Source organism: Homo sapiens, chromosome 9 (assembly GCF_000001405.40).
Source record: "Homo sapiens chromosome 9, GRCh38.p14 Primary Assembly".
Lineage (NCBI taxonomy): Eukaryota > Metazoa > Chordata > Mammalia > Primates > Hominidae > Homo > Homo sapiens.
The window spans coordinates 88,440,156-88,465,004 of NC_000009.12; the positions used below are offsets into that span (position 1 = coordinate 88,440,156).

The window sequence follows — 24,849 nt, forward strand, 5'->3', positions numbered from 1 at the left end:
TTTTTTTTTTAATTTTTAAAAATAGAGACAGAGTTTCACCATGTTACAAAGGCTGGTCTCGGGCTTTCCACTCTTTTCTGCCTTCTCTGGTTTTAATTGAGCATTTTATATGATTCCACCTTTTTCCCTTCCTTAGCATATCAAGGATATTTTTTGTTTTTAATTTTTTTTTTAATTTTTAAAAATAGAGACAGAGTTTCACCATGTTACAAAGGCTGGTCTCGGACTCCTGAGCTCAAGCGATCCGTCCACCTTAGTCTCCCAAAGTGCTGGGATTACGGGCGTGAGCCCCGTGCCCAGCCAGTTAAGTTTTTAAACTTTTTTAGTGATTGCCCTGTAGTTTGCGATATATATTTACAAGTAATCCAAGTCTACTTTCTTTCTTTTCTTTCTCTGTCTCTGTCTCTCTCTCGCTTCCTTTCTACCCTTTTTTTTTTCTCTGAGATGGAGTCTCGCTCTGTTGCCCAGGCTGGAGTGCAGTGGTGTGGTCTCAGCGTACTGCAACCTCCGCCACCCGTGTTCAAGCAGTTCTCCCACCTCAGCCTCCCCAGTAGCTGGGACTACACGATGCACGCCACCACGCCAAGCTATTTCTTGTATTTTTGTAGAGATGGGGTTTCACCATGTTGGCCAGGCTGGTCTTGAACTCTCAACCTCAGGTGATCCACCTGCCTTGGCCTCCCAAAGTGCTGGGATTACAGGCATGACACCGCGCCTGGCCTCTTTCTTTCTTCCCTTTTCCCTCCCTTCCCCTCCCCTTTGTGTTTTCTTACAAAAAACAAAAAACGCCCCCTCCCCAAGCCTACTTCGAAATAATAATATATTGCTTTAGGGGTAGTGCCACGTACTTTATGACAATAAAATTTAGTTGGCCCTCTGTATCCGTGGGTTTTACATCTGTGGATTCATCCAAACACAGATTGAAAATATCCAGAAAAACATCATTGTGCCTATACTATAAACATGTACATTATTGTCATTTTTTTCTAAATGATGCATTATAACAATGATTTACATAACTTTTGTATTTGGCATTATTAGTAATCTGGAGATGATTTAAAGTATATGGGACGGGATGTGCCTAGGTTAGATGCAAATACTACACCATTTTATATAAGGGACTTGGGCATCCATGGAGTTTGGTGTTGAAGGGGGTCCTGGAACCAGTCCCCCGTAGATATGGAGGGACGGCTGTATTCCTGATTCTCTCTCCAGTCTGGTTGTATCATCATTGCTGCCATTCGTGTGTGTGTGTGTGTGCGCGCGCGCGCGCCCATGTGTGTGTACATACATTGTTGCTCAATTAAGAAAAAAGGCCAGGCCAGTATGCTGTGGCTCATGCCTATCATCCCAGCATTTTGGTAGGCCTAAGTGGGAGGATCACTTGAGCCCAGGAGTTCGAGACCAGTCTGGGCAATGTAGTGAGACCCCATCTCTATGAAAAATAAAAATGGCTAGGCATGATGGTGCATTCCTGTAGTCCCAGCTACTTCAGAGGTTGAGGCGGGAGGACCGCTTGAGTCTTGGGACGTTGAGGTTGCAGTGAGCCATAATCGCACCACCGCAGTCCAGCCTGGGCCACAGAGTGAGACCCTGTCTAAAAAATAAATAAATAAATAAAAGTTTTTATATTATATTTTTATTATATTTTTGTATTATAAAATATAAAATAATATAAAATAAAAATATGTTACATATTTATTATAATTGTATATTATATGTTGTTATATTATTTTCACTTATTTCTTCTTTAATGTTTTTCCTTTATATAGATCTCAGCTTCTGACCTATATTTTCCTTTTTTTTTTTTTTTTGAGATGGAGTTTTGCTCTGTCACCCAGCCTGGAGTGCAGTGATGTGATGTCGGCTCACTGCAACCTGTGCCTCCTGGGTTCAAGCAGTTCTCCTGCCTCAGCCTCCCAAGTAGCTAGGATTACAGGCGCTTGCCACCGCACCCAGCTGAATTTTCCTTCTTTCTAAAGATTTTCTTTTTAACATTTCTTACAAGGCAGGTCTGTTGGTGACAAATTTCATCACTTTTTGTTTGTGTGAGAAAGGCTTTTATTTCTCCTTCCCTTTGAAGTAATTCTGCAGGATATAAAACTGTAAGTTAGTAGTTTTTTTTCCTCTCAACACTTTAAATAGTTCCCTCTACTATCTTCCTTTTTTGCATGGTTTCTGAGGAGAAAGCTCATGTAATTCTTTATTCCTCTGTGGTAAGGTGGTTTCTTTCAAGATGTTTTTCTTTTTCTTTCCTTTTTTTTTTTTGAAGACAGTCTTGCTCTGTCACCTGGCTGGAATGCAGTGGCCTGATTTCAGCTCACTGCAACCTCTGCCTCCCTGGTTCAAGCATTTCTCCTGCCTCAGCCTCCCGAGTAGCTGGGATTACTGGTTAATTTTTGTATTTTTAGTAGAGATGGGGTTTCACCTTGTTGGCCAGGTTGGTCTCAAACTCCTGACCTCAAGTGATCCACCCACCTCGGCCTCCCAAAGTGCTGGGATTACAGGTGTGAGCCACCATGCCTGGTGAAGATTTTTTTTTTCTTTACCTTTGATTTTCTACAGTTTGAATATGATACTCTTTGGTGTAGTTTTTTTCTGGCATTTATTTGGCTTGGCATTCTCTGAGCTTCCTGGATTTGTGGTTTGGTGTCTGGCATTAATTTCTGGGAAATCTCAGTCTTAGCTGGGTATGGTGGCGCACGCCTGTAATCCCAGCACTTTGGGAGGCTGAGGCGGGCAAATCACGAGGTCAGGAGTTCAAGACCAGCCTGACCAACATGGTGAAACCCTGTCTCTACTAAAAATACAAGAATTAGCTGGGCGTGGTGGCACACGCCTGTAGTCCCAGCTACTTGGGAGGCTGAGGCAGGCGAATCGCTTGAACCTGGGAGGCAGAGGTTGCAGTGAGCCAAGATGGCACCACTGCCCTCCAGCCTGGGTGACAGAACGAGACTCCATCTCAAAAAAAAAAAAAAACAAAAAAAAACTCAGTCTTTGCTTTACATTGATTCTATTCCTTTCTTCCTTTACCTACTTGCATTTCCATAATGTGTAAGTTATGCCTTTTGTACTTGTCCCATAGTTCTTGGGTATTCCGGGGTTTTTCTCTCTGCTTTTCAGTTTTGGAAGTTTTATTAACATGCCATTAAACTCAGAGGTTCTTTGGTTAGTCCTGTCCAGTCTACTAATAAGCCTGTCTCTGAAAGGCACTCTTTGCTTCTGTTAAAGTGTTTATCTGTAGCTTTTTTTGATTGTTAGAAGTTCCATCTCTGTATATATTGTCCATCTATTCTTTCATGTTGTCTGTATTACTCTTTAGAGATTTAGCATATTAATCATAGTTCATTTAAATTCCTGGTCTGGGTGAAATTAACAGATGTAGTTGGTAATTCCCTGCCTAGTTGAGTCTGGTTCTGATGCTTGTTTTCTCTGTTAATACTGCTTTTTGCATTTCAAAGCCTGTGATTTCTTGTTGAAAGGCGCAGATGATGTCTGGGTAACAGGAGCTGTGGTAATAGGTCTTTAGCAAGGTAGTGGTAACGTATGCCGGGGAGGAGAAGCAGTCTGTAGTCCTATGATTGCCCGTCAATCTTTTCATGAGGCTTGTACCCCTGGGTTGTGACCTTTGCTTGTACTTCTCAGTTTCCCCACCCCTACCCCTTGTGGGACAGGATGGCTTGATCAACTTCCCCGGCTTGTAGAGGAAAAATTCAGGAAATTGTAGGGGTCCTCTTAAGAGAGCCCCCAACCCCTGGAGTTTTTGTCAGACCTGCCCATGCTGACTAGCAATGTCGGTTGCAGTTTAGGTTTTCTTACCATGGCCCTGGTTCCTGTGTAGAGGTTTCTGATCTAGTAAGTTGTGATTCTTTATCTCCGCCTGCCTCTCCAGTTTTGGGGACAGTTGTTTGTCTTGTGACCTCAATTCTCTGACTAGTCTAAGAAGTTGTTGATTTTTTAAGTTTGTTTAGCTTTTTATGGACAAATTAGTTAACTTGGAAGCTTTTTAAGTGCCAGATTCTCTTCATTTATTTTTTAATTTTCAGGAGCTGCTTTCCCTTTTCATAGCCTCTTGTTCCCATTTTTTTTTTTTTTTTTTTTTTGAGACAGAGTCTCGCTCTGTCGCTTAGGCTGGAGTGCAGTGGCGGGATCGCGGCTCACTGCAAGCTCCGCCTCCCGGGTTCCTGCCATTCTCCTGCCTCAGCCTCCCAAGTAGCTGGGACTACAGGCACCTGCCACTATGCCCGGCTAATTTTTTTTGTATTTTCTAGTAGAGACGAGGTTTTACCTTGTTAGCCAGGACAGTCTCGATCTCCTGACCCCGTGATCCACCCGCCTCAGCCTCCCAAAGTGCTGGGATCACAGGCGTGAGCCACCGCGCCCGGCCCCCATTCTGTTTTTATAATATCTTCAGTTTCCTTGGAGATGCCAATTCTTTATAATCATTTTAGATCTCAGATCATTTCAGGGATAGTGATGGTGGTCACTTTCATTTTTCTCAATTCTTTGATGATGAATGGTTTACCTTTTCTTTTCTTTTTTTTTTTTTTTTTGAGATGGAGTCTTGCTCTGTCGCCCAGGCTGGAGTGCAGTGGCATGATCTTGGCTCACTGCAAGCTCCACCTCCCGGGTTCACACCATTCTCCTGCCTCAGCCTCCCGAGTAGCTGGGACTACAGGTGACCACCAGCACGCCCGGCTAATTTTTTTGTATTTTTAGTAGAGACGGGGTTTCACTGTGTTATTAGCCAGGATGGTCTCGATCTCCTGACCTCGTGATCCGCCCGCCTCGGCCTCCCAAAGTGCTGGGATTACAGGCGTGAGCCACGCGCCCAGCCCCTTTTCTTGAGTGATAAATAGCAAGATTCTGTTTCTTCTAAATGGGAATGTTGACTCTGGGGACATAGGGGGATGTTTGGCATTTGAGGCACCCTTTCCTGGAACTCAGCACTGAGTACATCCAGTGTGGGGTTGTGTGTAAGTTGGGGATTGAAAAGGGTTCTTGACAAGGGTGCAATTCCAGTAGATCTTGAAAGACTTTTTACTTTTCTTTCTTTTTTTTCTTTTCTGACCTCCTTCCATCCTTGTCTACTCTAAGCCCAGACATGCTCCAGGAATGCTTCAGGTAGACTTGCTCCTGCTTCCTGTCTGTGTCTTGTCTTCACTATTTGAGGCCATCACATACTTAATTCTTCACCCATTAGCCATTATCAAGCCTCTGTCCACGTCTCAGTGCGTATGAACATGCTGGGTGAAGTGGGTAGAGTGGTTCTTGGCAGTCAGGCCTATCTCCCAGTTTTAGTCTCCAAGGTAGTACAGTAAGCTTTTGTTTGATTTCAGATTTTCTTAAATGTATTGAGACTTTTATTATTATTATTATTATTATTATTATTATTATTATTATTATTATATTGAGATGGAGTCTTGCTCTGGGCTGGAGTGCAGTGGCGTGATCTTGGCTCACTGCAACCTCTGCCTCTTGGGTTCAAGCGATTCTCTTGCCTTAGCCAGAATTACAGACGCCCACCACTATGCCCAGCTTTTTTTTTTCCCCCCGTATTTTTGGCAGAGACAATGTTTCACCATGTTGGCCAGGCTGGTCTTAAAATCCTGACCTCAAATCATCCACCAGCCTTGGCCTCTCCCAAAGTGCTGGGATTACAGGTGTGAGCCACCATGCTCCGCCTGAGACCTGTATGATTCAGAAATATGTATCTGAGTGAATATTTCCATGTGAACTTGGAAAACTATTTTGGCATTCTTTTAGTATTCTTTAAATGTCAACTAAGTAAGGTTGGTTGTTCGGGTCTTCTGTATTCCTTTTGATTTTCTTTTTTTAATTTTTCTATTATTTTGATTGGCATATTCATGATGTATCTTTCTGATTTTCCTGTCTGCTTGTTATATCAACTGCTGAGAAAAGAGAGTTGTATAATTAAGTATAATTATGGATGTGTCTTTGTCTTTAATTCTGTCAGTTTTGCTTCATGTGTTTCATTACTCTGTAATTGGGTTCATATGCATTTAAGATTATTATAGCTTTTTAATTAATTCACTCTTTTAGAATTTGGAATTGTCCTTTGATTTGTGGTAATATTGTTTGTCTTGAAGCTAGTTTGTTTGGCTTTTCCCTTTACAGTCTTAATTGGTACAATTAGACTGTTTCTATTTAGTTTAATTATCAATGTGTTGCAAGTGGAAGGTATTTTTTGCTGGATATAGTATTTTAAGTCCATAGGTTAGTTGGTTTGCTGTTTTTTTTTTTTTTTTTGACGGAGGTTTGCTCTTGTTGCCCAAGCTGGAGTGCAGTAACACAATCTCGGCTTACTGCAACCTCCGCCTCCTGGGTTCAAGCGATTCTCCTGCCTCAGCCTCCCGAGTAGCTGGGATTACAGGTGTGCGCCACCACACCTGGCTAATTTTTTGTATTTTTAGTAGAAACAGGGTTTCACCATGTTAGCCAGGCTGGTCTTGAACTCCTGACCTCATGTGATCCACCCTCCTCTGTCTCCCAAAGTGCTGGGATTACAGGCGTGAGCCACTGCGCCAGCCCGGCTTGCTTATTTTTTAGCACCTTAAAGATTTATTCCACTGTCTTCAGGCTTACGTTGTTTCTGACATCAATTTTGGAGCCAGTTTTATTTTTGTTTTCCTATATTTAATGTATCCTCTGTTCTTTAGCCATTTAAAAAAACTTATTTGTATCAATGGTTTTTAGAAATTTGATGAAGAAGTGCCTTGGTGTGGTTTCCTTTGTTTTTGATCTTACTTTGGCTTTGTTGAGCTTGTTAGCTCTGTGGTTATATGCTTTTTATCACATCTGGACAACTTTGTATCATTATATTTTCCCTCATTCCTCTCTCTGCTCTTTGTCTTTGATTCCGCTTTCCTATGTGTTAGGCCAGTTGATATTGTCCTAAAGGTCACTGAGGTTGTGCTCATTGTTTTCTTCCAGGTTTTTCTTTGTGTGCTATTTTGAGTAGTTTGTATTGCTGTGTGTCAAGGTCACTGCTCTTTGTATCTCACATTCAGTGAATTTTTAATTTCAGATTATGTATTTTTCACTAATTTCATTTTTCTTTATATTTTCCATTTTGTATTTTAAGTGTTTTTATTTTCCTTTAAATATTTTAACATATTTATTAATGTTGTCAATGTCCTTACCTGCTAAGTACTTTATTTCATTCATAGTCTACTTGCTTATGGAGTTACAATCTGCTACTTTTTTTTGTGTCTAATAATTTTTGTTGGTGTTGAACATTTGAAACCTTGTGTTGTTGAGTGTTGGGACTTTGTTGATGCCCTTTCGAGACTGTTGGAGTCTATTTTGGCAAGCACGTGCTGAGCTTTTGTTCCAGGCTTCCTCACATTTCCTAGTTAGGGCCATCTTTTGCCATTTTTATTGATTGCTCCAAGTGTTAAGAGGTGGCGATGGAATCTGAACAGCTGTCCCTTTGTGACTTCTCAGAATTATGTGCAGATTTGTGTTAGCCAAAGACTTAAGACATCCTCCCCCAAATGCAGACTTTTTGAGCTTCCCTTCTGAGTAGATCCCTTCTTGCCCACATGTACATGTAGTCCACAAATTCCAGCCAGCCCACCCTTCCCAACGCTACACTGAGTCACAACATGGTAAAAGGGTGGTGTTCTTGGTTCCCCCTTCATACACCATTGCCCAAAAATTGCTTCCAGGAATGAGGTCAGGGCCTATGCAGGGTTCTCGTGTGTGTTTTCTGCTCCCAGGTCCCACACACCTGTGCTGCCTATCAGCCAGCATCTGAAACCAGGTGTTTCATATATTTCATCCTGTTTTTCAGTTGTTTATGACAGTAAGACAGTTCTGTACCATTTAGGATTTTATGGCTAGGATTGTCACTTAGTCTTGTTTTGGTCTTTTTTTTTTTTTTGAGACAGTGTCTCACTCTGTTGCCCAGGCTGGAGTGCAGTAGTGCAGTCTTGGCTCACTGCAACCTCCACCTCCTGGGTTTAAGCGATCTTCCCACCTCAGCCTCCCAAGTAGTTGGGATTACAGGCATACGCCACCACGCCTGGCTAATTTTTGTATTTTTAGGAGAGACAGGGTTTCACCATCTTGGCCGGGCTGGTCTCGAACTCCTGACTTCAAGGAATCCACCCGACTTGGCCTCCCAAAGTATCGGGATTACAGGCGTGAGCCACTGTACCCAGTTAAGTTTTTTTGTTTTTTTTGTTTTTTGAGACAAGGTCTTGCTCTGTCACCCAGACTGGACTGCAGTGGCACAAACACAGCTCACTGCAACCTCGACTTCCTGGGCTCAAGCACTCCCCCCACCTCAGCCTCCTGAGTGGCTGAGACCACAGGTGCATACCACTACACTTGGCTTGTTGTTTTTTTTGTAGAGACAAGGTCTTGCTATGTTACCCAGGCTGGTCTCGAACTCCTGGCCTCAGCCACCCTCCTGCCTTAGCCTCCCAGAGTGCTGGGATTACAGGGATGAGCCTCCACACCAGGCTGACACATAGTTTTTCTTGTAGTTCTTGTCCATGCAATTCTGGTTTTGTGCTTTTACGGCTGATTTGAGGGGATAGAGAACTGTTGCCTCTGCTGCTTTGTCTTTCAAGAATCTCTTGTGTGTATCTCTTTTTTAAAAGTTCAGTAAACAAATGGCTTTCTTAACATGTTTGCTGGTAGTGGTGTATTTTCTTTTCATATTCTGTATAGCAGTTTTTCAGAAGTTAAGATTTCCTGCATTCTGAGGTATTCTTTTATCTGGTTTTCATTGACTATATACTCATCTCTCTTACAGGCCATGCTGGAGTATCTGCCAACATGATGAAGAAGAGGACATCCCACAAGTAAGCAGTTCTGAAACTGGTTCTAGATAGTGTTTTGTGACCTTTTGTTACGCAGCATACAAGATCACCTAGGTAAGGCCTCCTCCCCTGTGATCGAGGGCTTCCTAGCTCATAGGAGATGTAGTGTGCGATGAGGAATAGTATGTAGTCATCTTCTCTGTCTCTTCCCTTCCCCTTGGCCTGGCTGCAGTGTGCCAGGTCTACCCTTCAGCCTTTAAAAGCCTTTGGGAACTGGGCCAATGGAAGGAAAACTGTTATGGTAAGTGTGGCAGGTGCATGGTGAACCTCTCCCTCTTCTCTCCTTGGAATGCCTGTGTGAGCCTTGCGTGCAGGCTTCCTCTCCTGGTCTTGGTCCACTGTTTGACAAGGAGCTCCTTTTGGGCAGAGACCGTGTCTTAAGCTGGGAGGGCCTGCCTAGCATGGTGTCACATGCTCACTGTTTTATAGCATTTTTAAATGAAGGAAAAGCTTATGAATTTAGGGAAAGCATATCCATGTTAAAAGATAATGCAATAGCCATCTACGTAAACTGACAGTGTGTTCTCAATCCTAAATTCTGTAGATACCAGCTTACAGAAGCCACTTTTTTCCCTAATTTTTTTTTGTGTGTGACATAGTTACATCCAAAAAAGAAATTAAGATTCTATTGTTTTCAATTATAATATTCACTTTTACTTTATTATATCTAATAGATTTCACAACTATCTATCCTATACTGATAACTATGCCACTTCAAACTGGAAATGTCACTTGAACAATCTGTTCTGATTGTGAGACTCTTCTTAGTCATAGATTATTAAATATGGAGAAGACACTCCTTGACCATCGTGAGGCACTCTTAAGAAACATTTTCCCCCAAAATATTTATATTGAAAGTGTATGCCCCTTAGCCACCACACTGTAATAGCTGAAGAGGATGTGAGGCCTCTTGGCTCTCAGGGAAGGGCTGGATGAATGCCCTTCAGTAATTGTTAGTGATTGGGCGAAACAAAAGTCTCCAAAATGTGTACGTGATACATAATACAAATATTTGTAATATTTAGCTTAAGAAACTACCTGGAAAGTAAAAATGTGAAGGTAAGCTACATAAGTTCTTGTTTCTCTGAGGTTTAATAGTTTCTCAAATTTTATCCATGTGCTCATCATCTTCATGGTTTTGCCATACCCAGTGATATGTTTCTGCTCATTATCATGTCATTACTGTAAATGGTAAGCTGTGTCTTGCCACAAATAAAACATAACAATAAAAACAAATGTAAGCCATAAATATTAGGTAATGATGAAAAACTTAAATACAGTGGGGACAAAGGCAAGTTAAACCTTAACTTTGCAGGACCAGAACAGTTCATTCAAAATAGATTTTGCAAGTTAAGTTAAAGGCTTATAGAATATTAATGTGCGTTCTAATCATTTTTCCGTATTTTCTAATCATCTATGATTAAAAGTTCATTTACTTAGGATTTCAGATATTAATAGGTTTGAGCTCTTGGGCATGTTATTATAATGCGTTTTGTGCAATAAGATTCCATCTGCCTCATCCTAATAAGCCATACTGTTCATTAATTCATAGGTTTGATTCCCTAAAGCATAAGAAACGAAACACCTAAAGTTCGTATACATAGTAACTGAAAAAATCTCTCATCCTATATGTTCCACATTTGGGGACCTTAATTTAGTGCTTTCACAAGCATACATAGTTGTCTTGAAGACTGGAAGCCTTGAGCATATTACTATCTAGCAAAAGGGAGAAATGGAAAGGAAAAGTTGTGAGTCCCATTTTCCTATTCTCAATGTGAATCTGAAGATGGGTAGAAGGAAAGGCTGAAACAGAAGTTTCCACATTCACGAATGATGATTATTAATATTTTTCACATGGAGTGAGCAGGGATGGCTGCATGGAGCTTTGAAGAGGCTGCCTGGTGGGGACGCAGGCTCTCCCAGGTGCTGGTTTTGAAGTTAGGAAGCCTGATGGAGCTTGGCTGTTAGGCCTGTGGAAGTTCCTTAATGTATCTAAGGTTGGCTTAATCCTGTCTAAAATCAAGGTATTGGACTAGAACAATGAGGTTTGCAGCTTTTTAGCATAGATTCCTTTCTAAAATGCAATTTTTATGGAAACCAAATATAAAAAAAAAACAGAACTATAGCATCCCTCTCCCCTTCACTTTTTCCACTTCTGACTCAACGGGAGTTGCAAGGAATAAGGGCCACCTGGCTTGACACTGGGGCTCAATGACGGTGGCCCTCCTTCTGTCTCTTCCCAAGTCAGTATGGGGTGCCCGAGAAAGAACCTCTGGTTGCTTGAGGGAAAAGTCACAGAACTGCACTGAGTGAGCAATAGCACCTGTCCCCGAAGGTGTTAGGAAGGTTCAAGGAGTCTGGTGTGAAGTACTGAGACCACACAGGAAACATTATATAGCTGGGTTTGTGTTTTTTAAGAAAATAGAAGCAAGCTTTTTTTTCCTATAGGCTGAGCACCTTGTGGTGTTTTGGGTGAAACTGGTGGATACACCTTTCTGGGCTGTCCATGATTTGGGACAAACATTTGCATTAAAAGTACGTCTGTTTTTTTGTTTGTTTGTTTGTTTTTGAAATATGGAGTCTTGCTCTGTTGCTCAGGTTGGAGTGCAGTGGTGCAATCTTGGTTCACTGCAACCTCCACCTCCTGGGTTCAACTGGTTCTCCTGCCTCAGCTTCCTAAGTAGCTGAGACCACAGGCGTGCCGCAGCACGCCCAGCTAATTTTTGTATTTTTAGTATAGACAGGGTTTCACTGTGTTGGCCAGGCTGGTCTCGAACTCCTGACTTCAAGTGATCCACCTACCTCAGCCTCCCAAAGTGCTGGGATTATAGGCGTGAGCCACCGTGCCCAGCCTAAAAGTACATCTTGGAGGGAAAATATAGTTGGGGGAGTGTCTAAGACAAATTTATTTCTAGTGGTTCTTCGTTTCAGTTTTCAAATGTAAATTCCCTCCCCCCTCCTGCAATTTGAACAGGGAATAGATTTCCATTCCATGCTACTGTTGAAAGGGGTGATTGGGTTTTGGTATATTTTTCACTAACTTAGAAAGTGGACTAGAATCTACTAAACACTAAATAGAGGTATTTCCAGGGATTTCTTTCCTCCCATTTTATAAGACACAAATATTAGTCACTGACAAAAGTGTCGTTGTACTCCTCCTTGTCCCTAGTGTGTTCTCATGTAGTTTTCATGATAGCCCTGTCAAGTAGGAACTGTGACCCCTTACTGCAGATGAGGAAACTGATGCATGGAGGGATTAAGTAACTTGTCCAAGGTCATCCAGCTAGTAGGTGATTGAGCTAGGACTCAAATAGGACAGTCTGATTCCAGAGCCCATGTTATTAAGTACCACCCCATATTTACTGAACTGCAGGTTTTGTTTTCTCTTCTCAGAAATTGGTTATTTCAGTCGTGGACATGAAGACTGGGTAACTCTTGGTGCGGGCATCTATGTGCACCATGGTGTATACAGTCTTAAGTTGGTCAGAACATTGAATGCTTTTTAATCATCTTGCAGTAAGTCATTCATGCCAGCAATGAGAATAGCACTTGGAGGCCCTAAAGCTGTTTGAATGTTTGCCGTGGACATCTCTGGTATTCCCAAAGTGCGCAGTGTGTAGACAAAGTAGTGAAAGGAAACATGCTAATGTGGATGGAGAACTGACTTTTTTAGGGTCTATCTTGTTTTATTGTTGACATTTTAATCTGGGAAGTGACAGTACTTGGCATGGAACTTTTATTGAATAACAGTTACCTGCAAAGCAGGTTTTTTTCTCTCTTTCTGGTTTGCATCTTGCAAAAAGACAGTTATTTTGATTTAACCAGTCTTTTCTTCTAAAATCTACTGTAGCCCAGAGTAGGAGAATTGCTTTATTACAATACCAAATAGACCAAGAGTATCAGTAATTAATCCTTACAACCTAGTATACAGTGTATGACAGGCATTTACTGGTATGTGGTAGAATTGTGATTGTTGAAAATTTAACATGTATGATGTCTGTAAATGTTGGCTACCAAGATTAGATATTTAAATACTGGTTAGGAATAGGAGTTAATTCAAGCCATTAAGGAAGTCTAGGTAAAAAGATGAAAGGTCGTTTTCCTTTCCTTTCCCTTTCCCTTTGCTTTCCTTTTTTTTTAAATTTTTTATTTTCCCAATAAGCCTTTTGCACTCCTAAAAAGGTTTTTCAACACATGACTTCAGCACAAAGTGATGGTACTTTCAGAACTTCTTTGAAGTATTGAGAAGAGTACATAATGTTTCCTACAATCTCAGTTTACTTTTTTGGGAACAGGAACACATAGTGTTTGTTCTATATCAGTGCCACCCAAGGTATGGTTCATGGATTGGCTGCAGCATCAATTTGGCACTTGGGAGCTTATAGGAATTCTTTTGTTCCTCTTCATGCCGCTGAATCCAAGAGGATTTGGGGGCTGGTCTGGGGAATCTCATTAGAGGATCTTCAGAGGATTCACATGCATGCTGAAGTTTGAGAAGCACTGGCCTTAAATCATTGTTGGAATGGTATCTTTTTTTTTTTTTACCGAGATGGAGTTTTGCTCTTGTTGCCCAGACTGGAGTGCAGTCGGCTCACCACAACCTCCACCTCCTGGGTTCAAGCGATTCTTCCGCCTCAGCCTTCCGAGTAGCTGGGATTACAGGCATGCGCCACCACGCCCGACTGATTTTGTATTTTTGGTAGAGACGGGGTTTCTCCATGTTGGTCAGGCAGGTCTCAAACTCCCGACCTCAGGTGATCCATCCGCCTTGGCCTCTCAAAGTGCTGGGATTACAGGCGGGAGCCACCGCGCCCGCGGTATCTTAAGCACATCGGAGAACTAAGTTAAATTGGGGTTGGAAATCAGTACACTAAATTATGGCAATGAAAGGTCATTGCAGTGCTGTGTAATTGTTCACCATATACTCAAATTCAAACTACAAGAAAAGTTTTTTTTAGCCATTACACAGATACCGGTTTATCCCTAATGATGCTAAATACCTTTCGATTATTTTATTTTTTTTCTGGAATTGTTTCAAGAAATAGCTTCTGGAGTTACGAAACAAGAAAAGAGGTTATAGATGTTTAATTCTGGCTGCATTTCAAGATGTCCTAGGTTGAATGAAGTATCTTGGTATTTGTTTTACAGTATTGCTCTGTGAGGGGATGTTACTAACTGGTAAATGAGAGTAAGAATATTTTAGACTCTTTCCCAAGAAAATATAAGAGATTGAAGGGCTTTTAACAATACATATATCAAGATAGTATTTAAATAAAAATCACTATATTCAAAGAACCTTCATTTTAAATCACATTTAAGTTGCTAATCACTTTTCTCTATTTGGGATATTCTTAGACTGAATGATCCAGATATGACCAAAGGGTGTTTGATCATTTTATTCCCTTTCTAGTAATTCCTAATAGTTTGCTTTTATATACACTATTTCCACTTATGTAAGTAAGCTTTAACTTTTGTTATTAATAGTGTTTTTTTAATTTTATTTTTTAGAACTCCAAATAGGTGATTAGAAATTAAAATTTCTTTTAGGAACTTGTTCAATATATAAATAACTTTTTACTGTGGGAAATTTTAAATATACATAAAAATATAGAGTAGTGTATCATAAATCTTGGCATTCTTCACCTAGCTTCAATAATCTACATCAAACATCAGATATTCTTAGTGTATCTAAACCTGTCTTAAGTAGGTACTAGTTGGAAGAACTGAAATTTATTAACAGCTTCCATATTTCAGTGCTCTTAGTAGTGAGCACAGTCTAGGTTTGTTTAAATACTCTTCCTTGTGAACTTTGGCTGCTGAGCAGCTTGTGCATTCAAGCCCCACAACTGGAAAGCTGGACTCATGATTTTAACAATTAGTATATTATTCTAATTACTCGTTTTTTGCCTTCAGCCTTGAGGGGAAAATTACCGTTGTTTCCTTTGCCTTTAAAGAAATTGGACAGAAATAGTATCTATAACAGATATTCTTTAATCCTTCTTTTGGAAACAATAAAATTACATTCTGAAAGAATTGCTCTTGAATCACAAAAAGGCAGTAGAAATAAATGTAGGAATTGCCATCCTTAAAATATGCAAATCTATTTTTATATATAATTTCTTGCCGAATTAGTATACGCATTGCATTAATGTAGCAGTAATTAAAAATTGTGTTCTGCCGGGCGCGGTGGCTCACACCTGTAATCCCAACACTTCAGGAGGCCAAGGCTGGCAGATGACCTGAGGTCGGGAGTTTGAGACCAGCCTGATCAACATGATATCTCCACTAAAAATACAAAACTAGCCAGGCGTGGTGGCACATGCCTGTAATCCCAGCTACTCGGGAGGCTGAGGCAGGAGAATCGCTTGAACCGGGGAGACAGAGGTTGCGGTGAGCTGAGATCACGCCATTGCACTTCAGCCTGTGCAGCAAGAGTGAAACTCCGTGTCAGAAAAAACAGTTGTGTTTTATGTGGCTGCAAAAGTGAAATACTTAAGTTGTAGAAAATTTTGAAAACATAGGTAAACAGAGAAAGAAAACTTATTTATAATGCCATCACCCAGAGATTGTTAATAATTTAATGTATATTTTAAAAAACTTTTTCCTACGTACCTGTAAGGATTGTGTATAAAAATTTTTCATGTCATATTTTTTACACTTGTGGGTTTTTAAAATAAAAAGTTTTTAAGACTGGGTACAGTGGTTCATACTTCTAATCCCAGCACTTTGGGAGGCCAAGGTGGGAGGATTGCTTGAGCCCAGGAGTTTGAGACCAGGCTGGGCAACATAGTGAGACCCTGTCTGTACAAAAAATTAAACATTAGCTAGGCATGGTGGCAGGCACCCTTACGTAGTTCCAGCTACTTGGGAGGCTATAAAGCAAGAGGATTGCTTGAGCCCAGGAGTTTGAGGACAATTTGGGCAACAAAGCAAGACCCCAGTTCTTTAAATTCTTTTTCATGATTTTTAATACGTATATAGTTCATCATAGAGATAACGCTCTGAGCTTTTAAATTAATGGGGCCTATTGTTAAACATTTTCTTTAGTTTCCCGTGTTAGCAATATCTTTGTGCACATCCATTATTATTTTCTTTTGATAAATTTGTAGATGTGGACTCACGGAACAATGGAAACTCCACATGGTAAGGCTTTGGACAGATATTGCCAAACTAATCACTAGAAAGGTTTTATTCATTTTATACACAGATAGAAAATAATACTTCATCATAATTTGTACTAAAATTATGATGAAATTATCAAAATTCTAAGTTTTTGTTACTGTTAATATAAAAAGGTCATCCTGCTGGCAGACCAGAACACTAAGAAATTTCTAGATCTCAAGCAGATAGGAACAAGTTTATATCAAGACTCCACTGAGGAACTCTGGTGCCAACAAGTAAATAAACTAGATTTAGAATACTGCCAGGATCAGAGATAGTAAGGGCTGGACAATAGAATGGCTTGAGTACAGTTACCAAATATTAAAAGGGTAAGAAAATTGATTGTACAGAATTGGCATTGGAACAGAAGATGCTCAACTTACCTCCTCTTGATTTAAAGATACCTGTCACTTCTTAGCCTCTGTGCAGCTACCAGGGTTGTGGCTTCTGTCATCAGAACCTGCACTTACTGCTCAGAGGCCAGAGAGTCTGACTTGAGCTGAAGACATACATTGTATCTACAAATGCCACTTCATCTTGACTTGCATCTACAAATACGAACACCAAGAATCATGAGGCATCTTAGAGCACTAAACGCATAAAAGACAGTCACTAGTCAAAACAGAAGAACAAGCCAGGAATCACCATGTATGTGTAGAAAACAGAGGAGACTTGATCCTAAAGAGTTCCTAGAAGAATCAGGAAAAAATGAAACTTATCTTCAGATATCAGAAAGCATGTTCATTAAAAAGAAAAACCATTCGAGATAAGACAAAGACATTAAAAATATTATGCAAGATATTCAATAGGCTGAAAGTAGAGTTTACTTAATTCACTAACAATTGAGCTAAAAATTTCTTCAAGATGAAAAGTATGACAGGGCAGTTGAATCATGGAGAATTGATCTAGAAGTGCTAGCATTTGTCTGATGACATTTCAAAAGCGGGTGGAGGAGGAGAATAATCCAGACTACAAATGGGTGATAATTTTGCTTTGCTCTCTCTAGGTTGACCAGCTTCTTATGAGGGATAATTAAAAACACATGTCACAAGTCTTTGTGACATTTTAGAGTCTAGGAACAAAGAAAATTCTAAAACACCTTGAAGACCCAGCACTTTGGGAGACTGAGGTGGGGCGGATCACTTGAGGCCAGGAGTTTGAGCCAGCCTGACCAACATGGCGAAACCCTGTCTCTACTAAAAATGGAAAAATTAGCCGGGTGTGGTGGTGCACACCTGTAATCCCAGCTACTTAGGGAGGCTGAGGCACGAGAATCACGTGAACCTGGGAGGTGGAGGTTGCAGTGAGCTGAGATTGCACCACTATACTCCAGCCTGGGTGACTGAGTGAGACTCTCTCAAAAAATAATAATAAATAAAATAAAACACCTTGAAGAGAAAATTGCCCCTCAGAGGAACAAGGATCAGATTGGCTTCTATTGTCTGTAATTTTAGATGGTAAAATGAAAGTTTTTTTTTTCTCTCAAAGTACTGAGGGGAAAAAGACTTTGAACCTGATTTGTATACACAGGCAATTCAGGGATAAGGGCAAAATAATAATTTGAGGCTTGCAAAAATCTAGCGTTTGTATTCCTGAACTTTACCTGAAAGAATTACCAGAGGATGTATCTAGAAAGACAGAATATACATGAGAAAAAAATGTGAAAATACTACGCAAAAAGCAACCAAAAAACCTTTCTTGTTTCTAAATTAAAAAGTTACTAAGATAGTAGCAAAATGAAAATACCAATTTGTAACAAAAGTCTACATTTCAGCAATGCAGTAGAATTAGCCAGGTAAGGTTTTAAGTTTTTCTTTTACTAAGGATTTTTTCTTGTTTGGTTTTAGTGTTGCTTTGGCTGGGGGATGAAAAGTATAGGTTTTGATTAATCACAGATTTTAATAGAAAAATGAAAGTTTAGGTATAATATATGCAAAGTTAAAGATAATTGTTGGAAGACTAGAAGCAAGTTACATCATTTGCGTTAGAAGCTTTATTTAGTGAAAAGAAACTTCAATCATTCTAGTGGCACAGATGAAGGAAGAGAGGAAAGTGAGGAAATGAAAACAGAAGACAGGTAGACAACACAGAACAAAATGTTAAGTATGAGACTCATAGTATCATTTACCACAGCAAAGGCTAACTCTTAATAAGAAGATGAGGAAATAAAATCAGTTCAAAAGGGAGGAATATGCATTCCCAGAATTAAAGGACCCCGGGTCCAGTTTGAGGAGGACTCTTGGCCAGATACAAGCCCCTTGTATAATGCTCAAGAGGGAGGAGACCTTATTTGCTCCTTGGAGGTGTCTAGTATGAAAACTGCTTATTTTGAAATGTGATTCTAGCCATTATCAGGAGCAACTGCAGATAATTCCCATTTACAGAGGAATGCTGCTAACAGGTGTGGGAGGGAGCAGCGACAACGAAAAATTCTGCTGTCATAGGTCACGTTTATGTTGGTTTTCTTGAAAATCAAGGGTAGAAAATTTCATGCCTCTAGAGAGAGAGAGAAAAACACATGAGGAGGGAAGCGGGGAAGATTTATATTAAGGAATTGGCTAATGCAGTTGGGACTGAACAAGTTCAAAATCTATAGGGTAGGCCAGCCATCTAGAGAGCCAGGGAAGAGTTGAAGCTGCAGCACAAACAGCCAGTCTGGAGGCAGAATTCCTTCCTCCTCCGAGGAGGCCAGTTTTTTTCTTGGATGAGGTCCACCAACATTATGAGGGCAGTCTGCTGTGCTCATAGTCTGCGATCCAAATGTTCATTCCAGCTAAAAAATGCTTTCACAGAGACATCTAGAGTGGTGTTTGACCACATATCTGACTACTGTGGTGTAACCAAATTGACACACAAAGTTAACCACCATATGGGTGAAGATGCTGTATTTGCTTATAATTTTGTTAGTAATCATGGAATGTCTGTGTAAATTACAAAATGGGACACATGACTGAATTCTATCCTTAGTGAGGTTTGGGAACTAACCTTAGCCTTTGCACTAAATATGAAGAAAGCCTGATCCTGTACGGGGAGTAACTCATTGGATCTTTGGCTTAGAAATCAAAAGAAGATACGTAACTGGTTGTCAGTTTAAGAAAAAAAGTATTGCTACAAAGGATTCTTGTATTCTAAAGTGGAAATGTAATCTCCTTCACCAGCTGTTTTCCCGTAGAGGCCAATTGGATGTTACTGTATATTACTAGAGATTATGCAGATGTCTAGAAGTCAACTTTCTTCTACCTCTGAGTAGTAAAGTTACAGACTTTTTGTTTATTTTTATGTTATATATATATATTGGTTCCTTACTGTGAACAATACTGAATTTAGCTCTTTGTCATCTCCTTTCTCTCTACAATCCTAATTTTAATTCTTTTTTGATCTAAGTTTATAAGACACTCACTATACTTACTCTGCTTTGCATATTCTTTTCTCCTGTTTTTGAGAGTTGTGTTAAATTTGAAATATCAGAACAGATAACGGTTACACACTATTGTCTCTCCTTGCCGCCATTTGTTCTACAGTTAAATGTATTCATTGCTTTCTCTCAGTGCTGTACTGAACCTTCTCTGTGAGTTCCTTGATTATCTGAAGCTCATTGTCATATAACTTTATAAGAACAGTATCCCCTGCCTTCTGACATGTTCGTTACAGTTTTGTTTGCGGCCTTTATACTTGAAGGTCAGTGTACCTTCTTGGCTGATGAACAAATCCTTGGCTCACATTTTCTTTTCCTTGAGAACCTTAAGTTTATTACTCTGTTGCCTTCTGGCATAGAGTGTTGCTGTCAAATTCTGAGTCTATCCCTTACACATGATTTGGTCCTTTTGTGTAAATGCCCAAAGGGTGTTATTTTCTTTAAAATTCGTTTATTTGACTTGGATATGCCTTAGCGCCAGTCATTCTGGGTTTTCCTGTGGGGTGCATTAGTACATTCAAGTGTTTTGTTTCAGGAACGTTTTCTTCAATTACGATTTTTAGTACTCTCTTCTGTGAACTTTGATTTTAGTTTTTAGGTTCTTCTGTTACACAGAAGTTGGAATATTTGTTACCATCTCTTAATTCTTTTTACTTTTGTCCCCGTCTGTCCCCTTTTCATCATCCACTTTCCTCACATGCTCCCGTGGTGTCTGTTTCTTCTCATGTTCTTCTAGTCTTAATTTCTGAAAAAAAATTTCAAATTATTGATTCTTTACTTTGTTTGGTAGTTCTCACATCTTCTCTTGTCTAGCGATCTCATTTCTCATCTTTTCTGTTCCTGATACATGTTCTTACGTTAGGGTTCTCCAGGGAAATAGAATCGTTGGGAAATAGATAAAATATGAAGGAGATTTATTATGAGGAAATTGGTTTATGCTATTTTGAAGACTGAGAAGTCCCGTGGAGTGCTGTCTGTAAGCCAAGCCTCGGGAAAGCTGGAAGTGGAATTCATTCTGCAGGTCTAGAACCAGGGGACCCAGTGGTGTCAGTTCCAGTCCAAGGGCAGGAGAAGACTGATGTTCCAGCTCAGGCAGGCCAGCAGGAAGAAAAAGGGGTAAATTCCTCCCTCCTCTACCTTTTGTTCTATTCAAGCCCTTGACAGAATGGATTATGGCCACCCACATTGGTGATGGCATCTTCTTTGTTCAGTCTGCTGATTCAGATGCACAGACACACCCACGAACAGTGTTTAATCTAGGCACTCTGTGGCACAGTTAAGTTGACACACAAAATTAATCATCACAGTTTCTATTTCATGGCTTCTGTCATTTGCTCAGTGTTAGATAGTAGTTTTCATCTACTTAATGAGCCTGTTTTTGAGGCCTGCTCCTGCCTGTCAGAACATCTGTCACATTGTTAGTCTTTTTCCTCCTCAAGATACTTTCGTATGTTGTCCAACCATGATGCTTCCAGACCCATGTAAATGAGAGGATTCCAAGAATGCTTTCCTAGCTTAAGACCTCTCTGGGTAGCCACCTCTGTCATACTTTCTGAGACCTGCCGCCCTCATTTCTGCCTGAATCCTGCTTTCCTCACCCTGTGGTCCTGTCCTGGTCAGTAAGGATTGTGTACTCAGAAGGGCTTTGTCTTTCTGGAAGGAAGGTTTGCTGGGTTTTTGCACAGTCCCAAGGGGCTTAGGCAGACCTGGGTTTTCTGGCCTTACAGTCTTGCACTTAACCCTGTGAATCTCCTCCCAGTCTCCTTGGTTAGGTTCAGACCCCCTTGCTTAGTTTTTCACCCCCAGGAGAGAAGCTTCCCTTCTGCGGCGAGTACTCCTTATTGTCTCTTATGGCCTGTTCCCGTCTGACTTAGCTAAATATATGTTACCAGTCTAGAGTAAATTATTTCTATTTAGAAAATATATAATTTTAGTTTTAGCTGTTACAACCTACAATAAATTGTTTCTTTAAAACTTATTTGTGTTATATGTCAGATATTAATCACTTTTATTCATGGTGTACGAAATGAGAGCTTTATACCCATAAAACTGTGGGAAGGGAATTCCTTTCAGGTCTTTTTGTTCTTGGCGTATATCAGCATCTGTTATCTTGGTTTTGACCTTCAGCTTGCATCCAAGAAGCCAGGGTTTTAAGGTGAAATGAAGATTTTTTCCTGATATCAAGAGCCAGGTGTATTATTTATAAACATTCTGTGTGGATTTTTCAATTGCTAATAATAAGCCAGAAAAAAAGTAGTTTGATGTTTCAATAATTTTTAATATTACATTGTTATAAACTTCAGTTTTAAGATTATATGTTTTCTAGACAAGTAATGTTTCTATAGTGCATTGATATAAGCTAGTCTGGACTTCAGTTTAAGAGAAAATTGTCTAGTTTATTTTTATTAGTTAAGCTTGTACAGGCAGAATTATTTGGGCACGGGAATGGGTGAAATTGAATAGTTACACATTTCTTTTTAACTTGAAGTAGATATTATATAAAACTATATACCTGTGTGATTATTGATAACATGTATTTCACGGATCAGTCCTTCTTTAATTAACTTGGAAAATTTTGAGTTGATTGAATTAAAATAAACTCAGAAAGCTGATAACCTGATGCTTAATAGTAGGGCTTAAGTTGCTATTGACTAGTAGTTTTTTCTGCCTATACACAGTTGAGGTGCACAACAAGCTCCTATTACTAACATACCATGTTACACACTCACCACCACTGGTACAGGGGTAGAGGACAACCACTTTGAGTCACCTGAAGCAGGAATGTGGCAAACATGAGTTTGTACATATTTTGGGACCATCTGTAATGAGATCATGCTAGCCAGCGGTTATGTTAGATCTAGGCATGCATACTTTTGAGATAATACCTTATGTGTGTATATGTGTGAATACAGAAAACATCGGAGCAGTGTGGGTCCGAGCAAACCTGTTTCCCAGCCCCGGCGGAACATCGTAGGCTGCAGGATTCAGCATGGGTGGAAAGAGGGGAATGGCCCTGTTACCCAGTGGAAAGGAACCGTTCTGGACCAGGTGCCTGTAAATCCTTCTTTGTATCTTATAAAATACGATGGATTTGACTGTGTTTATGGACTAGAACTTAATAAAGATGAAAGAGTTTCTGCGCTTGAAGTCCTCCCTGATAGAGTTGGTAAGTTCTTTTTATAATTTGTGCATTATATACTTTAAAAATGATATTGAACTGGATGCTTTTTTTATTTTACATTATTAATACTTCACTTTTATTGGAACACAAGCACCCTTCTTGATAAACATTATATTAAATCACCGAAAACCACAAAAATGGATCCTAAGCAGTTCAAGGAACTGTGTGAGGGATATAGAGATGTGTATTTTCCCCCCAAGAAGTTTGCCACGTAATAATTTATAATACGGTTATTTCTAACATTTTTGCTCACTGTTCTCTGGACTCTGATGGGTAAGGTTATCAGTAGCTGAAATATCCTATATGTTAATCTCATCTCATCAGATACAAAAGATAAGAGAATGCTGTGCCTTTAGAATCTTTCTGTGAAAGTGTATCTTTGTGTACAACGTAAATGATAATTGTACTTTGAGCCAAAATTTAAACAACCAAAACGTGGTCTTTATTATACACAGAGCTTGATTGAACAATGTTTGTGGAAATGAATGGCTCTTTTTAAATGTCATACAGTGCCAGTTTTGCCCTGCAAGTGTTCCTTAAGGCATAAGGTCTAAGGTAAATAATAATTACTGATTTTATTAGTAGGGTGGGATACACCCAAACTAATATTACTTTTTTTTGAAGTATTTATTTTGAAATATTTTCTTATTACAGTGATGCTGCTCTTGTTTAAAATATTGGTTTATACTTTTAGAATTGTCTTTATAAGTCTATACCATTAAATAATAAAGTTTCAGCAGATCTAGACTTGGGAGGTAGGAATTTTGGGATCAAATTGTCACAGGAAGAAATTAGTTCAGTCTCCTCGCTTTGTTTTTCTTCAGACTGTGCCATTGTGTCCCTGGGATATAACGAGTTTCCTTAGGAAGTTAATTCTGCCTTAGTAGCAAGTTATTTTGTTTTACTCTTCTCTTTAGATATCAAATGCTAAATCCTTGCTCATCTGTATAAATATGGTTCAGTTTTCAAAGAAATCTTTCTTTAAATTTAAATCTTTATTATTACTCCTAAAAGTAATATTAAGTCTTTGTTATTTTCAACATTCTCATCTATTCTTAAGTGTGACTGATCACCTGCTCTTCCTCTTGATGCACATCCTACATTTCTTCTTGATCATGGCATTAATCCATTTCCCATATAAGAAACTTTAACATATTAAAAATCTTAACAGCAGAATTTTAGTCTCTGCCCCTTCTGAGACGACAGCTAGCTCACTTGAAGGTTCCTGCATATTGCTGCATGACCTGTGGTTGTTGGTCCTTTTGTCATCGAAGGATAGAAACTGTACAAGTATCTCTGGTGATGGGACTAAGGGTTCCATGTTGTTTGTAGTTTGGTATTATCTCTGTTTCCAACAATAGTAATTTTGTAAACATTCAAGCAATATAAAAAGAAACCCAAGAGCTTTTCTGTAAATCAGCAATATATATGCCTAATTCAGCTAATAGTTGTTATTAATTTTAGTATTCGTGGTATTAGGTTGGTGCAAAAGTAATTGCGGTTTTTGACATTGAAATTGAAAGTAATGGCCAAAACAGCAGTTACTTTGGCATCAACCTACTTTAGTCTAAAAAATTACTTGCTCTTCACTTACGTTTTACGTCGGAAGCAATTGCTTCAGGCAGTACATTAGAGTATAATTAAAATTATGTTTTTCTTAAGCTAAAGTTAGAGAAAAAAGTCAGTCAGCCAGAATGCATGTGATGTCACAGAGCAGTGGTTCCCAAAGCAAGGCCTGGGGACCCTTGGGTTCTCTGAAGCCCATTCAGGAGATTTGCAAGGTCAGAAATATTTTCATTTTGTTAAGCTGTAATTCGCGCTTTTCACTCTCTCTTTTTCTCAATTACACAGTGGAGTTTCCCACTATCTATTTGGAAGATTTGCATAACTTAGTGAACACAATATTTTCTTTATGAGCAGTGCATGGTACCACATCATGCATTGGTGAAAGAGCTATTCAAAGTGCAAGACTAACTACTTTTTTTTTAATTGTAAAAAAACATAGCATAAAATTTACTGTCCTAACCATTTTTAAGTGTACAGTTCAGTAGTGTGTTAAGTACATTCGCATTGTTGAAACAGATCTCCAGAACTACTTCATCTTACAAATCTGAAACTCTCTACCTATTAAACAAAACAACCTACCTTTCCTCCCATTCCCAGCCCCTGGCAACCACCATTCTACACTCTGTCTCTATGAATTTGACTATTCTAGATATCTCATAGAAGTGGAATCACAC

At 39.5% G+C, this 24,849-nt stretch overlaps 1 protein-coding gene across 1 annotated transcript in view, besides 1 other annotated feature; it reads left to right on the top strand.

Annotated features, from left to right (window-relative positions):
• Positions 1-24,849, top strand: part of SPIN1 (spindlin 1) — a 90,251-nt gene that overhangs the window by 51,712 nt on the left and 13,690 nt on the right. Inside the window, exons 3-4 of the mRNA NM_006717.3 lie at positions 8,786-8,834; positions 22,341-22,594. Of these exons, the coding sequence (NP_006708.2) occupies positions 8,786-8,834; positions 22,341-22,594 (303 nt within the window). The remainder of the gene's footprint in view (positions 1-8,785; positions 8,835-22,340; positions 22,595-24,849) is intronic.
• Positions 3,075-3,776: an enhancer, noted in NCBI's record as "OCT4-NANOG-H3K4me1 hESC enhancer chr9:91058145-91058846 (GRCh37/hg19 assembly coordinates)". NCBI's record gives its function as "activates a minimal SCP1, AML or CMV promoter by ChIP-STARR-seq in primed H9 embryonic stem cells {active_cell/tissue: H9 hESC(primed)}" and the evidence as "EXISTENCE:reporter gene assay evidence [ECO:0000049][PMID:30033119]".